This window comes from Homo sapiens, chromosome 11 (genome assembly GCF_000001405.40).
Source record: "Homo sapiens chromosome 11, GRCh38.p14 Primary Assembly".
NCBI lineage: Eukaryota > Metazoa > Chordata > Mammalia > Primates > Hominidae > Homo > Homo sapiens.
In genome coordinates, this window is record NC_000011.10 from 121,972,138 (window position 1) to 121,990,719 (window position 18,582).

The window sequence follows — 18,582 nt, forward strand, 5'->3', positions numbered from 1 at the left end:
AAGAAGATACGCAGATGACAAATAAATGCATGAAAAGATGTTCAGCATTATCAGGACAACACAAATTAAAACCTCGATGAGATACCACTACACACATAAAGCAGACACACAAAAAAGACTAACCATACAAAGTATTGGTGAGGATGTGCAGAACTGCTAATCTCACACACTGGTCATGGGAATATAAAATGGTATAACCACTTTTTAAAACAGCTTTACGAATCAATCAACAAAAATGGTGGAATAAGTACCTCAAAAATTTTTCTTTTTCATAAAAGCAATAAAAAATTGGCAGAAACTTCCAGACTCGATTTTTTCAGAACTCTAATAATTATTGAGTTTTGTAGCAACCCAGGGAGAATTTATTGGAAAAAAAGTAGCTGAATCGTGGTAATAACAGTGAAACTTGTGGTATTTAATTTGCCTAATTTCTCCTCTCCTTTCTCCAACTCTGTGATAGCCTTGAAAAATAACAGCCTGCATTCTCAATGCAGCCTTCCAGACAGTGGAAGGAGCAGAATGAAGCCAAAAGTCTTTCAAAACATCATGCACAAAGAATTGTCATTATTTAACCTGTCCGATGGTTTCCTAGAAGACCCTATTTACAAGGCTGACAGTATTTTATTTAACTTAGAGCTTCCCCAATATGAAAAGCTTTTCTTCCCAGGGAGCACTTGTTTAAAACAGTTCCTGGCTAGTGTTTTAAACTTGTGGCTGCCTAATATGAGGGATATTGATTAGGGATGAACAATAGAGTAAACAAAAGGCTTTAAAGGAAAAGCTGGAGTATGAAGAGCTAGCTACTTAAGCAGAAAGTAAAGGCTAAGAACAAGTTGTCAATTGTCTGGCTGAACGTTGAATGTCTGCCCCAGCATGTGCACACACACAACCTCTTGGCAAAGACTAGATGGCTTGGTTCTTGGCTATGGTAGGCTGAATAATGGCCACCAACAATTCCCAAGTCCTAATCTTTGGAACCTGTGAATGTTGACTTATATGGCAAAAGAAACTTATCGATGTCCTGAAGCTAAGGATATTGAGATGTGACACAAAAGAAGAAGGTAACATGAGGACTGAAGCAAGATGCTACACTGCTGGCTTTGAAGATGGAAGAAGGTCCCATCAACTACGGAATGCAAAGAATAAAACTCTTGGAGCTGGAAATGGCAAGGAATCAGATTCTCCCCTTGTTCCTCTAGAGCACGTGCAGTCCTGCCAACACCTTAATGTCATCTCAGTGAACCTGGTTTGAGATTTCTGACATCCAGAACTATGAAAAAATAGATGTGTATTGTTTAAGACACTAAGCTTGTGGTAAATATTTACAGAGCCATAGAAAACTGCTACACAAGCATTTAAGAAAATCTTTATTCAGTTGTTAGCTAACCACTAAGCTAGAGACTTCAGTGGGCACACATAATAAACAATACATACTTTACAGAATCAGTAAAAAACAACAAAAACAAAAATCCACAACTAAAACAAGCAGAAACGAGAAACACTGAGGATCAGAGAGAATCTGATTTCCAGCACTGCCATATTTTATTATTTAAAATGTCCATTTTTTCCATGCAAAATTATGCGACATGGAAAAACAAGTAAGTATGGCCGACACTCAGGGATAAATGCAGTCAACAGAAACTGTCCCTGGAGAAGCCCAGATCTTGGACTTTACAGACATAGAATTTAGGTCAGTATTTTAAAAATGTTCAAAGAACAACAACAAAAAATTTAAATAGCTAAAGGAAAATATAAAAATTATGTCTCATGAAATAGAGAATATCAAGAAATATAGAAATGATTTTAAAAATAAAAATTCTGATGTTGAAAAATATAGTAGCTGAAATTAAAAGTTTACTAGAGGTAGTCAAAAGAAAGTTTGAGCAAGAAGAATTCTTGAACTTGAAGATAAGTCTGTTAAGATTATCTAGGTTGTGATTTACATGAAAAATAATTCAAGAGGTTAGTTATTAAGCTAAACAGGGAGGCACCAGAGAAAGGCGAAGCCCAATGCAAGGAAATCCAAAAAACGATACAAGAAGTGAAGGGAAAAATACTCAAGGAAACAGATAGCTTAAAGAAAAAAAATTAAAAATTTAAGAAATTTTGGACACACTTGTAGAAATGCAAAATGCATTGTCAAAGTAACCGCTGAGCTAAAGCCAGCTGGCCAGGTGCAGTGGCTCATGCCTGTAATCCCAGCAATTCAGGAGGCTGAGGCAGGCAGATCACAAGGTCAAGAGATCGACACCATCCTGGCCAACATGGTGAAACCCCATCCCTACTAAAAATACAAAAATTAGCTGGGCATGGTGTTGCACGCCTATAGTCCCAGCTACTCGGGAGGCTGAGGCAGGAGAATTGCTTGAACCCAGGAGGCAGAGGTCGCAGTGAGCTGAGATCATGCCTCTACAATCCAGCCTGGTGACAGAGCAAGATTCCATCTCAAAAATAAATAAATAAATAAGAAAGAATAAAAAAGAGATGCGAAATGCTCTGGAAAGTCTCAGCAATAGAATTGAACAAGTAGAAAAAAGAAATTCAGAGCTCAAAGACAAGGTCTTCGCATTAACCCTATCCAACTAAGACAAAGGAAAAAAATAAGAAAATATGAACATTGCCTCCAAGAAGTCTGGGATTATGTTAAATGACCAAACCTAAGAATATTCAGTGTTCCTGAGGAACAAGAGGATTATAAAAGCTTGGAAAACATATTTGGGGGAATAATTGAGGAAAACTTACCCAGCTTTGCTAGAGACCTAGACATCTAAATACAAGAATCACAAAGAACACCTGGGAAATTCATCACAAAAAGATCATTGCCTAGATACATTGTCATCAGATTATCCAAAGTTAAGACGTAGGAAAGAATCTTAAGAGCTGTGACAAAAGCACCATGTAACCTATAAAGGAAAACCTATCAGATTAACAGCAGATTTCTCAGCAGAAACCCTATATGCTAGAAGGGATTGGGGCCCTACCTTCAGCCTCCTCAAACAGAACAATTATCAGCCAAGAATTGTGTATCCAGTGAAACTAAACATCATATATGAAGGAAAGATATAGTCTTTTTCAGACAAACAAATGCTGAGAGAATTCTCCATTACCAAGCCACCACTATAAGAACTGCTAAAAAGAGCTCTAAATCTTGAAATGAATCCCAGAAACACATCAAAACAGAACCTCTTTTAAGCATTAATCACATAGGACCTATAAAACAAAAAGACATGTTAAAAAGCAAAAGCAAAAAACAAAAACAAAGGACGCAGGCAACAAAGAGCACAATGAATGCAATGGTATCTCACATTTCAATACTAACATTAAATGTAAATGGCTTAAATGCCCCACTTAAAAGACACAAAACCACAAAATGGATAAGAACTAATCAACCAACTATCTGCTGCCTTCAGAAAACTCACCTAGCATGTAAGGACTCACATAAACTTAAAAGAGTGGAAAAAGGCATTTCATGCAAATGGACACCAAAAGCAAGCAGGGGTAGCTATTCTCATATCAGACAAAACAAACTTTAAAGCAACAGCAGTTAAAATAGACAAAGAGGAACATTATATAGCGGTAAAAGGCCTTGTCTGACAGGAAAATATCACAACCCTACACATATATGCACCTAACACTGGAGCTCCCAGATTTATAAAACAATTACTAATAGACCTAAGAAATGAGATAGACAGTAATACAAAAATAGTGGGGAACTTCAATACTCCACTGACAGCACCAGACAGGTCATCACGACAGGAAGTCAACAAAGAAACAATGGATTTAAACTACACCTTGGAACAAATGCCCTTAACAGATGAGAACATTTCATCCAACAACCGCAGAATATACATTCTATTTAACAGTGCATGGAACTTGCTCCAAGATAGACCATATGATGGGCCATAAAATGAGCCTCAATAAATTTAAGAAAACTTAAATTATATCAAACACTCCATCAGACCACAGTGGAATAAAACTGGAAATCAACTCTAAAAGGAACATTCAAAACCATGCAAATACATGGAAATTAAATAACCTGTTCCTGAATGAGCATTGGGTCAAAAATGAAATCAAGGCCAGGTGTCATGGTTCACGCCTGTAATCCCAGAACTTTGGGAGGCTGAGGCAGGAGGATCACCTGATGTTAGGAGTTTGAGACCAGCCTGGCCAACATGGTGAAACCCTGTCTCTACTAAAAATATAAAAACTAGCTGGGCATGGTGGTAGGCACCTGTAATCCCAGCTATTCGGGAGGCTGAGGCAGGAGAATTGCTTGAACCCAAGAGAAGGAGGTTGCAATGAGCTGATACGGTGCCACTGCACTCTGGCCTTGGTGACAGAGTGAGACTCCATCTAAAAAAAAAAAAAAAAAAAAAAAAAAAAGAAATCAAGATGGAAATTATAAAATTATTCAAACTGAACAACAATAATGACAGAACCTATCAAAACCTCTGGGATACAGCAAAGGCAGTGCTGAGGGGAAAGTTCATAGTCCTAAATGCATGCCTACCTCAAAAAGTCTGAAAGAGTACAAACTGACATTCTAAGGTCACACCTCAAGGAACTGGAGAAACAAGAACAAACCAAATCAAAACCCAGCAGAAGAAAGGAAATAACCAAGATCAGAGCAGAACTAAATGAAATTGAAATTAAAAAAAAATACAAAAGATCAATGGAACAAAAAGCTGGTTCTTGGAAAAGATAAATAAATTTGATAGACCATTAGCAAGATTAACCAAGAAAAGAAGAGAAAAATCCAAAAAACCTCACTAAGAAATAAAACAGGAGGTATTACAACTGACACCACTGAAATACACAAGATCATTCAAATCAAGAACTCAACTCCTTTTACGATAGCTGCCAAAACAACAACAACAATGAAAACCAAAAAAAACTTAGGAATATACTTAACCAGGGAGTCAAAAGACCTCTACAAGGAAAACTACAAAACACTGTTGACAGAAATAATAGACGACACAAATAAATGGAAACACATCCCATGCTCATGAATGGGTAGAATCAATATTGTGAAAATGACCATCCTGCCAAAAGCAATCTACAAATTCAATGCAATCCCCATCAAGATAGCATCATCATTCTTCACAGAATTAGAAAAAACAATTCTAAAATTCATGTGGAACCAAAAAAAGAGTCCACATAGCCAAAGCAAGACTAAGCAAAAAGAACAAATCTGGAGACATCATACTACCCAATTTCAAACTATCCTGTAAGGTTATAGTCACCAAAACAGCATGGTACTGGTATAAAAATAGGCACATAGACCCATGGAACAGAATAGAGAAGCCAGAAATAAGCCCAAATACTTACATCCAACTGATTTTTGACAAAGCAAAGAAAAACATAAAATGGGGAAAGGACACCCTTTTCAAAGATGGTACTGAGATAATTGGCAAGCCACATGTAGAAGAATGAAACTGGATCCTCATCTCTCACTTTATACAAAAGTCAGCTCAAGATGGATTAAGGACTTAAACCTAAGACCTGAAACTATAAAAATTCTAGAAGATAACATTTGAAAAACCCTTCTAGACATTGACTTAGGCAAGGATTTCATGACCAAGAACCCAAAAGCAAATGCAATAAAAACAAAGATAAATAGCTGGGACCTTACTAAACTAAAGCACTTTTGCACAGCAGAAGGAACACTCAGCAGAGTAAACAGACAACCCACAGTGTAGGAGAAAATCTTCACAATCTATATATCTGACAAAGGAATAATATTTAGAATCTACAATGAATTCAAACAAATCAGCAAGAAAAAAACAATCCCTTCAAAAAGTGGGCTAAGGATATGAACAGAGAATTCTCAAAAGAAGATATACAAATGGCCAACATATGAAAAAATGCTCAACATCACTAATGATCAGGGAAATGCAAATCTAAACCACAATGTGGTTTTACTCCTGCAAGAATGGCCATAATCAAAAAATCAAAAAACAGCAGATGTTAGCATGAATGCAGTGATCAGGGAACATTTCTCCACTGCTGATGGGAATGTAAACTAGTACAGCCACTGTGGGAAAATGTATGGAGATTCCTTAAAGAGCTAAAAGTAGAACTACCATGTGATCCAGCAATTCCACTACTGGGTATCTACCCAGAGGAAAAGAAGTCATTATTCAAAAAAGATACTTGCAAATGCATGTTTATAGCAGCAAGATTCTCAATTGCAAAGTCGTGGAACCAACCCAAATGCCCATCAATCAACGAATGGATAAAGAAACTGTGATATATATGATGGAATACTATTCAGCCATAAAAAGGAATGAATTAATAGCATTTCCAGTGACCTGGATGAGATTGGAGACTATTATTCTAAGTGAAGTAACTCAACAGTGGAAAACCAAACATCGTATGTTCTAACTGATATGTGGGAGCTAAGCTAAGAGGATGCAAAGGCATTAAAATGATACAATGGACTTTGGGGACTTGGGGGGAAGACTGGGAGGGGGGCGAGGGATATAAGACTACAAATACAGTGCAGTGTATACTGCTTGGTTGATGAGTGCACCAAAATCTCACAAATCACCACTAAAGAACTTACTCATGTAACCAAATACCACCTGTACCCAATAACTTCTGGAAAAAAATAAAAAATAATAATAAAATCATACAGAGCAAACAAAAAAAATTATGTAGGTTGAATAAATAAAATAAAAAAGGATACAAAAAAATACACAGAGCCTTAAGAGACCGGTGGGATATCAACAAGCACACCAAGATACATGTAATGGTACTCTCAGAAGGACAGAAGAAAGAAGAAGGCAGAAAAGACATTGCAAAAAAGGAATATCCAGAAAGAATAAATAGTGGCTAAAATTTCCAAATCTAATGAGAAACATTAATCTATACATTCAAGAAGTTCAATAAACTCCAAGTAGGATAAACTAAAAATAACTCACATCTAGATACATCATTATCATACTGCTGAACGTCAAAAACCATCTTGGAAGCAGCATGAGAAAAGTGACTTACTACTTACAAGCTACCCTCAATAAGCTGATTTCTTATTAGAAATCATGGACGCTAGAAAGTAATGGAATAACATATTCAAAGGATTGAAAGGTAAAAACAAGCAAATAAAAACCCCCAAGCCCTCTCAATCATAAATTCTACATCCAGAAAAAAATATTTTTCAAACATAAAGGAGAAATTAGAGATTTTCAGGTAATAAACCAGAATGTATCACTAGCAGACATGCCATGTGGGAAATATTAATGGGAATATTTCAGGCTGAAATGAAAGAACACTAGAAAGAAATTAAAATCAATATGAAGAATTAAAGAGTACTAATAAAGGTTAACACATAGGTAAATATAAAAAAGCAGTATAAATGTATTTTGTTGTAACTCCTTTTTTTTCTTATCTGACTTAAAAGACAGTTACATAGAGCAAAAGTTGTAAATCTGTATTTGTGGGCATACAATGCATAAACATGTAAATTGTGACAATACAAGTTTTTGTATACTGTATTAGTCTGCTTGGGCAACCATAACAGAATACCACAGACTGGTGACTTAAACAACAAAAATTTTTTTTCTCACAGTTCTGGAGGCTGGAACTCCAAGATCAAGATGTTGTCAGGGTTGGTTTCTGGTGAGCTCTCTTTTTCTGGTTTGTGGACGCTATCTTCTCACTGTGTCCTCGCATCGTCTTTCCTTTGTGCAAACACAATGAGAGAGATCTTTCTGTGGTCTTGTCCTCTTCTTTAAGGGCACAAGTTATATCAAATTAAAGCCCAACTCTTATGACCTCATTTAACTTTACTCCTTAAAGATCCTGTCTCCAATTACAGTCACATTAGGGGTTAGGGCTTCAATATTTGAATTTTGGAGGGAACATAATTCAGTGCATAATATATACTACTGAAAATAAGTTGCTATAAGCATACACTAGATTGTTATAAACTAAGGTGTTAATCGAAATCCCAGGTCAGTCATTAAGAAAATAACTCAAAATGTATGGTAAAAGAAACAACGAGATAATTAAAATTACTAGAAAATAAATTTTTAACACAAAAGAAGTCAGTATGAAGGAATAAAAAAACAAAAAAAAATCAAACATATAGTAGACAAATAACAAAATGACAGATATAAATCCTAATTACCAGTAATTCTACTAAACATAACTGGATTAAATGCTCCAATTAAAAAGCAGAGATTGGCAGAATGGATTTTTAAAATAACCAAACTATATGCTGGCCACAAAAGAGACACTTTAGATGCAGAGACACAAAGGGGTTTAATGTAAAAGTGCAGAAAATTATTATTATTTTTTATTTTTTTTTCCTTGGAGCTTGACCTAAGCATGAGGTTTGATCTAAGGAAGAAGGCTTCCTGCCTAGTTTATTTACCTTTCTGGAAGAACCATTGATGTGACCTTTCTCTGTCTTCTGTAGAAGTCTAGACAGAGTAGGAGAGTGGACACAGTATCCTCCTAACATCCAGCCAGTGTAGGGCTTCTGGAAGGGTTTTGGGTGGGGGAGTTGGGGAAAGCCTGAGCCCCTGCCTTTCTCAGGCAAGCCTGTAAAGTCTGTGAATCACTTCACTTTCCCATTGAGTGTACCCACCTAACTACAATATGTTCCCCTGATAAGTAAGAATAATAAACAATCAGTATAGTTTGTAAAGTACTTCCCTAAATGAAATAATGCTGAAGGTTTCATATATGGTATCTCATTTAATCCACATAATGATCCTATGAAGTAGATACTGTTATTATTATATGTATTTCTTTATGTGAACAAAGCAAGGCTCAGAGGAGAGGTCACTTGTCCAAAAGTTACAGTTAGGGTTCAACCGAGGCAGACTAACTCCACAGTCAGTCTCCAGTGTTAGGGTTGGCTGTAGCATGGAGTGGCTAGCTCTGTGTACACAAGGGGATCTTGGGACAGGTGAGGACTCTGAATTAAACAACTTTGAAGCCCACAAAAGAGCTATTAGACCTGATAAATTCAGTGAGGTTACAGGATGCAAGATCAATACACAAAAATTCGTTTTTCTATACATTTTTAAGGAACAATCTAAAAATGAAATTAAGAAAATAATTCTATTTATGACAGTATAAAAAGAATAAAATGAGAATAAATGTAACAAAATAAGTTTAAGGATTCCACACTGAAATCTATGAAACCTTGTTGAAAAAGTAAAAGAGCAGCTAAAGAAACGAAGCCATGCCATGTTCATGCATTGGAAGACTTACTATTGTAAACGTGGCAATACTCCCTAAATTAATCCTCAGCAATGTAAAGGAATGAAAATCGATGCAAGGGCAATGCAGTCTGTGGTCATATCACCGTGAATGTGCTCAATCTCATCTATTACATGAAACAACAGACTTACTTCAAAATAATGATGTCAGTGAAAAAAAGCAGCATTTTGTTAACAAGTGCATACTGCATTACTCCATTTATATAAAATTCTAGAAAATCTTTAGTGGCAGGGATCATGTCACTGGTTTCCTGAGGATGAGGGTCAGAGTGGAGAGGTGTTAGAAGGGAGAATTTTAACAGGTCAAAAAGAAGAAACTTTTAGGGCAATAGGTATATTTATTATTTGATTTTGGTGGTTTCATGGGTATGTATAGCTGTCAAAACTTATCAAATTGTATACTTTTAATACATGCAGTTCAGTATTTTCAACTGCAGTTAATTAAGCTACTAAAATAATTAGACAAATTTTCTAATTAAAAGGGGCAAAAGATTTGAGCAGATGTTTCACCAAAGAGGAGATACAGGTGACAAATAAACACATAAAAAATCCTAAACGTCATTGGTCATTAGGAAAATTCAAATTAAAATCACAATGAAATATTACTGTACACTTATAAAACTACAAAAAAAGACAAAGCAAAGTGCTGACAAGAATATACAGCAACTGCAAGTTTCACACATTGTTGGGGTGGATGCAAAGTCATACAGCCGCTTGGGGAAACAGTTTGGCAAATTCTTATAAAGTTATACATGCACTTACTATACAATTCAGATTTTCACTCCTGGATATTTACCCCAAAGAAATGGAAACATAAGGCCACACAAAGACATGTAGGTTGTTTAGAGCAAACTGAAACCTAGATCCATCCCAAATGCCTGTCAAATGGATGTTGGAGAAACAAACCATAGTACATCCATACAAAGGACTCCTCAACAATAAAAAGAAACAACTACTGATAAATACAACAACATGGATGCATCTCAAAAGCATTTTGCTAAAAGAAATAAGCAAGATACAAAAAGGTTACATGTTGTATGATTCCACTCAATTTGGAAAAAACAAAGCCATAGGTAAAAAGCAGCAAATCAGTGGTTGACAGGGGTGGGGGTGTTGGGAAAATTGGCTATAAAGGGCCCATGGAAACATTCTGTGGTGATGAAAAATTCTGTATCTTAAATACATTTGTCAAAATCTCCAAGCACTGAATGTAAAAAAGCTGAATTTTACCATGTGAAAATTACCCTTTAATAAACCTGATGTTTTCAAAAATCCACGTCATCCTTGATTTTTAAAAAACTCAATAAAATAGGGTTAAATAATTTCTTAATATGATAATATATGTATATGTGAGCACTAAATAGAGTATCATTCTTTATTGCAAAACCACAGGAGAATTCCTCCTAAAAACATAAAGAAGTTGCCCATAATCAACACTATTACTTAACATTATGCTAGAAGTACTAGTCAACAGAATTGGAATAGAAAAAAATAGAGGTACTAAGTTGGAAACAAGGTGGAAAACAAAATCAGTATTTAAAAATGCTTGGCAATAACCTGGAATAACCCCAAGAAAATCAACTGAATAAAAGTGTTAATAAAAAAAAAAACAGTGGGGATATGTAATCGATATGGATAAATCAATGTTTTTTATAAATATAAACAATAACCACTTGGAGTATAAGATAGAAGAAGGGATCTTTACAATAGCATTTACAATAGCAACACAATAAGATAAAATGCCTTGAAAGAAAATTAACAGGAAAAGTCCAAGACATATTAAGAAAACTGTAAAATTAACTAAAGATAGTAAAATTTAACAAACAGAAAGACATGAATGTTCTAGATTGGGGGGATCCAACATTGCAAAGATGTCAATTTCTCTAACTTAATTTAGAAAATTAATATAATCCCAGTAAAATTATAATTTTTTTTAAAAAAGCTAAAGATAATTTTTTAAAATTAGGCAAAAATCAACAACAATATTTAGAGAAATTCTGAAAAAGAAAAGCAAGGAAGAATCTACTTGATTTCAAACATACTATAAATCCTGAATAATGAAAAGTGCATGGCACCAACTCATGAAGAAACCAATGTACTCATGGGGAAACACAGAGAAAGTTTAGGAATAGAATCAAATGTATACAACAAAGGTGGTATCTCAACTCAGAGAGAAAGAGAGAGTATACAATTAAAGTTGTTGAAACAATTGGATCTACATACCATACCTCAAAGCAGGATAAATTCCAAATGGGTCAAGATTTAAATAAAAAACATGAAGCCATAAAAATACTGAAAGAAAACATGGAAAGTTTCCATTTGAAGCTTGGATAGGAAAAAGCCTATTTAAATATAACTCAAAATTCAAAATTTTAAAAAATGTTATACTTGACTACATAAAATTAAAAGAAAATTTTAGCATGAAGGCATACCATTAAACAAAGATAAATATAAATGTTAAACTGAATTTAAATACTTGCAATGAATAGCAAGAAAAAGAACTTATCTCCCAATATGTAAAGAGCTCTTAGAGTTTGATAAAACCCGATATTAAAATGAGCAAAAAATATAAAGGGCAATTCAAAGTATTTTTTAAATATGTGAAACTACTCATAGGTGAAATGCAATTTAAAAGCTACATTAAGATACCGTTTTTCACCTATCAGATTGTTACATATCCAAAAGTATGATACAATCTGTTCCTGAGGCTACAGGGAAAGAGTCACTTTCATACATTGCTGGTGGGAATGTAAATTGTTACAACCCTTAGGGAGGGCAATTTGGTAATATCTGTTAAGATTACAAATGCATATACCCTTTGACCCAGCTATTTCACTTCTGGGAATGTATCCTAGAGTTATCCTAGGACGCATGCAAAATGATATACCTGAATATCTATTGCAGCATTGTTAATAATAGCAAAAGATTGGAAGCAACCCAAAACTTCCATCAATAGGAGGCAGTTTTTTCATTTCATTAGCTTGCTTTTATGGCTTCACAGTGGGGAAAAAAAAAAAAAAAAAAAATGAGCCTCTGCTCCTAAACCCAGACTGAAGCTGGCCTAAGCCATCTATGCGATTTCTCCTTCCCCTGGTCTAACCCTTTAGAACTTCCAAGGCAGTGAAGTCCCCCCAGGTGGGAGATGGCCTTGGGCCATCTCTAGGACATAAACTTAAGTTTGGGATGGACAGAAGAGGGAGCAATGCAAACCACTCTATCCCCTGCTAATTACAAAATCAAAGCTTCTCTTTACTGAAGTGACATTGAGGGAGAGAAGAGGGTAGTGGGTGAACTTTCCCTAGGTATAGAATGAACCGCTACTAATTGTCATTTTAATCTTGGTCATCATTTAATTAATTAGGGAAAGATATGAATAATACTGCATAAGACTTACCTTTGCCTATTTCAGTAAAGTGGTCCCTTTTCCTAAAATTATACAACTAGGATGCTATTTTCCCCAGATACTAATGTTAATGAGCACTTTATGATACCACAAACAAGGCAATAATATTTACCGTCTGACAGCTACCTAATCTCAGATATAATATCTAGAAGATATAGTTCCCTACATCGTCTAGGTATAGGTGAAGTTGAGTGAAGTTGTCCAAATTGAGACTATAAAATGATGGAAAATGTTGAAGTTAGATGTTCTTCTCCATTTTTGCATTTGCCTACATTTCTTTTTAAGAATCACATGATTTTGGTCAAATGTCGTGTTGCTGATTTGTGGTTGTGGTTGTTTGTCTGCGTGCCGTGAGTTTGTTTTTTGGTAAATACAAATTATTCAAAAGCTATTCAGAGAAAAAGAAGTGGAATCCTGCTAGACAGTAGACAGTAAGAATTCTGTGGGATGGTCCTGGTGAAATAGAAACCACTTTGTGTAAAAAGGCTCATTTTAAGTGGGTCAATCTGTATTAGTTGCACCACTTGAAACATTGAAGATACATTTTAGTGTATCTCGTGTTTGGGGACCTTTTGGGAACACACTATATTTATACTCTATTAAACTAGGTCAGCTTCTTTGTTGGGACAATCCCAGAGGGAGCTATACATTTCACCTGAAGGTAGCAAGAAGAGTTCTGGTATTTTACTGGTTTGTCTATCTTAACTCATGCTACTGAAGTCAAATCTAGTAACGTCCTATGTCCCAGTGAATAAACAGTGTCTCCTTCATTTACAAATATTTATTTAGTGTCTAGCATGAGTTATTTGTTGTGCTAGGTGTGGGAAATATCAATTTCTGCGGTCAAGGAGACTGCTCTCTAAAAGGATGGTAAGACACATTCATGCATATCTATAGAAAGAGCAGAAAGATAAGCTAGGCTTAAGGCTGCTGAGTTTATGGTACACGCATATTAACTAAGAGAAAGTGTCCTATATAGGCAGTTAGAAAGTGAGACACTCTAGAGAGCTTACAGTACTAGATAGAACTTTGTTTAGTTTTCGGTGGTAGAAAATGAAGCTCTCTTTCTAGAAAAGAGGAGTCCTGATTCGTACATAGCGTTTTTTTCTTCTGATGAAAACAAATACATAAACAAGATGTGATTTTTGATATTTTTCAGCACATTTTAACTTAAAAATTATTTTAAAGAATTTGTGTAAGTAAAAATATGTGTTAATTATGAGAACATCAAAACTATAGTGATTAATGAACATTTCCATATAGTAAATTATGGCTGCAAATGAAGGAAGTCACAGCCCACTGTTTCATGTGGCATCTAGTCTCATACATTCAGAGAATAATACTGAATTCTGGTTTTGTATTCTAATTAGAGCACTAACAAGATAGTATTCATTAGAAGAAGACAAAGTGTCTAAAAATCAGGCCATAGAAAGTACAGCTAGATTGGAAGAATAAATTCTGTTTTATAGAAGTATAGGGTGACTATAATTAACAACAATTTATTATATATTTTCAAATAGCTAGAAAAGAGAATTTAGAATGTTTCCAACACAAAGAAATGATAAATGTTTGAGGTGATGGATATGCTACTGATATGATCATTACACATTGTATACCTGTGTCAAAATATCACACTGTAATCCATAAATATGTATGATTGTTATTAATATGTATCAACAAAAAATAAAAGAAAAAAATTGCCATTCAAGGTACTAAAATTTTTAAAAGAATGTCAATTCAAATGGGTTATTCACCTTTGAAAAGAGGTGACTATAGTTTATAATAATATATTATATATTTCAAAATAGCTAGAAGACAATAATTGGAATGTTTTTAGCATAAAGAAAAGACAAACATTTAACATGATGGATATCCCAATTACACCGATTTGATCTTTACAAATCACATGAATGTATCAAATTATCACATGTACCTTCCCCTTCCCCCCACCAAAAAAAAAAAACAGAAAGAAAAGGGAAGGCTTAGAACCAGTGATAGCTATCTTCAAATATTTGTGGTAGATCAGTATTATTTATTGTTATTCCAGAGACCAGAAATAGGAAAATCATAGGTGAAAGTTCCAAAAAAGCAATTTTCAGCTTATGTGGAATGACTAACTGACAATTACAGCTGTCCAAGAACAGGATAGGGTGTTTTGTTTATTTGTTAGCAACCTACATGGCAATTGAATGGCATTCAATTAGAGATGCTGAGATGCAATGCCTTTCAAATTTTAAGGTGCATTTTGAGTCACCTGGGGTCTTATAAAATGCTGTTGGCCACCAAACATAGTTTGAGTACCAAGTATATAAAGAATTTTCCTTTGCTATGTGGACAATTTTGGATAAGAGAAATTTTAAATTTTCCCTCATCTTGAAAAGTCTATTATATTCTATGTTTATTTGAGTACCAATGCAAGGTATTTGCTGGATGCTGTGGAAATAAACAAAAGTCAGGGTCCCTGAGATAAAGTAGCATATTTCAGAAACAAGAGAATGCATAGCACATTTGAAGAATATTGACCTGATTGAGAGAAATTTTTCTGGTAGGAGAAGTGTTGTAGAAATAGGCTTTGAAAAGGCAGAGTTTCCATTGTGAATATAAAATTAAGTACTTCAGACATCATCCTGGGGGGAAAGGTATGCCAGTTCAGATTTGCCTTCTTCTATAAGTAATATACCCCCAGGATAGTGGCTTAAACACACAAATGTTTATTTTTCTATGTAAATAAAAGAGGTACAGAATTAAGCTGTTCAGGGTTGTATGACGACCCCATAAAGTCATCAGGGACTTGGTCTCTTTCTATCTTTCTGTTCAGTCATCTTCCTTGCTGTCTTCCACCCTCAAGATTATTTTAAGATTCAAGACAGCTACTGGAGCTCCAGCAATTTTATCCCATTCCAGGCTTGGGAAGGAAGATGAAGAAATTGCTTCTTTCTTTTGAAGAAAACAACTCAAAAGACAACTGCTGCTTACATCTCACTGGCTAGAACTTGATTACATGACTGAATACAACTGCAAGGGAACCTGGGAAAGATTATTGTCTCAGCTATGCACATTGTCCAGGGTTCTGTTTTTAAGGAATAATAAGTGGATTGATGAACACTGGAAGTCACCTAGCAGTCTTTATCACAAATGGTAAGTCCATTGTTTCTGAATTGGAATGGGACACTGGCAGGGGACTGTTTTTGAAAGATAAGTATGGAGGTAATACAAAGACTGAAAGTAAATGTTGGGAGATGTAGTCAAGATGACTGATTTCTAGACATAAAGGAATTCCGGGGATGTTGGACTAAACAAGAGTAGTAAGAGATTAAGTGAAGAGAGAGAACTATAGAATGGCCTTTACAAAGTTATGATGGACAAGACTTGGTGACTTGACCTGGGTCGGAAAAGACAGGGAGGAACCTAGAATACCCAAGAGGTTTACAACCTGGGTGACTTGGAAAAATGATGAAACCCATAGCAGAAAAAGAAATGGCACAAAGAAAGGCGACTTGTCGAGGAAGAAGATGAGTTTTGTTTTAGATATACTGGGTTTGCTGTGATGAGGGAACATCCCAGGGGACAGGCAGAAATATCTAAACACTTCATGGTTAAGACTATAAGACAGTGTATACTGCTCGGGTGATGGGTGCACCAGAATCTCACAAATCACCACTAAAAGGACTTACTCATGTCACCAAACATCACCTGTTCCCCAATAGACTATGGGAATAATTAAAAAAGGAAGAAAGAAAGAAGGAAAGGAAGGAAGGAAGGAAGGAAGGAAGGAAGGAAGGAAGGAAGGAAGGAAGGAAGGAAGGAAGAAAGGAAAGAAAGAAAGAAGGAAAGAAAGAAAGAAAGAGAGAAAGAAAGAGAGAAAGAAAGGAAGGAAGGAAGGAAAGAAAAAAGGAAAGAAAGAAAGAAAGAAAGAAAGAAAGAAAGAAAGAAAGAAAGAAGGAAGGAAGGAAGGAAAGAAAAGAAAGAAAGAGAAAGGAAAGAAAGAAAGGAAAGAAAGAAAGAGAGAAAGAAAGAAAGAGAGAAAAAGAAAAAGAAAGAGAAAGGAAGGAAGGAAAGAAAAAAGGAAAGAAAGAAAGAAAGAAGGAAGGAAGGAAGGAAGGAAGGAAAGGAAAGGAAAGGAAGAAAGAAAGAAAGAAAGAAAGAAAGAAAGAAAGAAAGAAAGAAAGAAAGAAAGAAAGAAAGAGAAAGAGACTTTAGCTTAGGAGACAATTGAGTGTGTAGGGGATGGCTTTTGAGGGTATTCACATATTCCACACTTCCACGTAAGTGTCTAATAGTCATCTCACACTTTATGTTTCCAAATAGAACTCTCAGCCACCTTTACCCCACTCTAGTTATTGAAGACCCAGAGAATGCTGGTCTGTTTTAATAATGATCTCAACCAAACACCAGTACATAGGCAAATTCTCTGCAGAAAATGAGTTAGGATAATACTCTAAAGCCAAGTATAAATTATTTGATATCATGTTCTCTTTGAGAATACTCCTCTCTGAATTTTGAGTTATTTTCTATAATCGTCTTTGGATGCCTTCAAGTTCAGTTTAGCCATCTGCTTCAAGGGAATGATAACCCATGAAACCAAGGTGTCCCAGTTCAGCCAGCTTCCATAGCACTCTCCTCAGAGATAGACTGAATTTTCCAAATACCAATTCTATATGAATCTGTTAATTGGATTATAGACAAAGTTTCCTGTCTTTTCTCTGGGCTAAGAATCTGATTTTCCCTTGACAATATATTCCTAATGCCAGAGGTCAAGGCTTTTATTAAGCCATTCTGAACTTGCCTTCAAGTGGTTAATGAAAGATCCCTAGAGCACAGCTTTGACCTTAGCCTGCGTTGCATTTTATTTAATTGAATTGTATTTTGCTCCCTTCCTTTGTTTCTCTAGGCTCCAACCAGAGAAGGAAGCCAATTGAACTCCTGGGATATATTAATTACATGTTTTATTTGACGATGTTTTGGTTTTCCATTATGTTCTTGTCATCTTTTTATTGTTCTATACCACAAAACGTCACATGGACTAACTCTCTGGGAGTCTCTTATTTGCATTTAGTGAGGAGAGGACAACCTACCCCAAGTGGGTGGGGAAATTCCTGTATATCAAGTTATAAGGCAGGGGGTTCCCTTTCCACATTCGTAAAGCTACCCCGAGCTCAGGATACCCCCCAGTCAAATGGGTAAATGCTAGACAATTTCCTGTGGGAGACCTGGCCTTCTTGGAAGGAACTGAAATCTGCTGCTAAACAAGAAATCTAGAAATGTTTTGAAAATCTAAACGTGATAAAAATGGAAGAGAGCTTTCTTATTAATAATGGCACACAGATACACAGACCTTTGTGGTTAACAAACTGTTCACACTTGATACTCCTAATTGTCCTTAAGATAGGCATGGTGAGTACCAAATTCATGTTACAGAGGAGAGCACGATACTGACAGAACCTGGTGACTTGCTCAAAGCCACACAGTCTATTCTGCAGTAGAGCTGGGACAAGTCTTATGCTATTTACGCTGCTTTCTTTCCATTTATCTATAGTAAAATCATCAACCAGAGTTTGCTGACCTATCAGGTGGCACAGTACAGACTGCTCTAAGCTGTGGTTGTCAAAGGTGTTAGATCTACAGAATTAAATTGCATAACTGTGAACAGACACTTTTCAAAAGAAGACACACATGCAACCAACAATCATGAAAAAGAGCTGAACATCACTGATTAATAAAGAAACGCAAATCAAAACCACAATGAGATACCAACTCACACCAGTCAGAAGGGCTATTATTAAAAAATCAAAGAACAACAGATGCTGGTGAGGTTGCAGAGAAAAATGAAAACTTATACATTGTTGATGGGTGTATAAATTAGTTGAAACATTGAGGAAGACAGTGTGGCAATTCTTTAAAGACCTAAAAACCGAACTGCAATCCCATTACTGAGTATATACCCAAAGG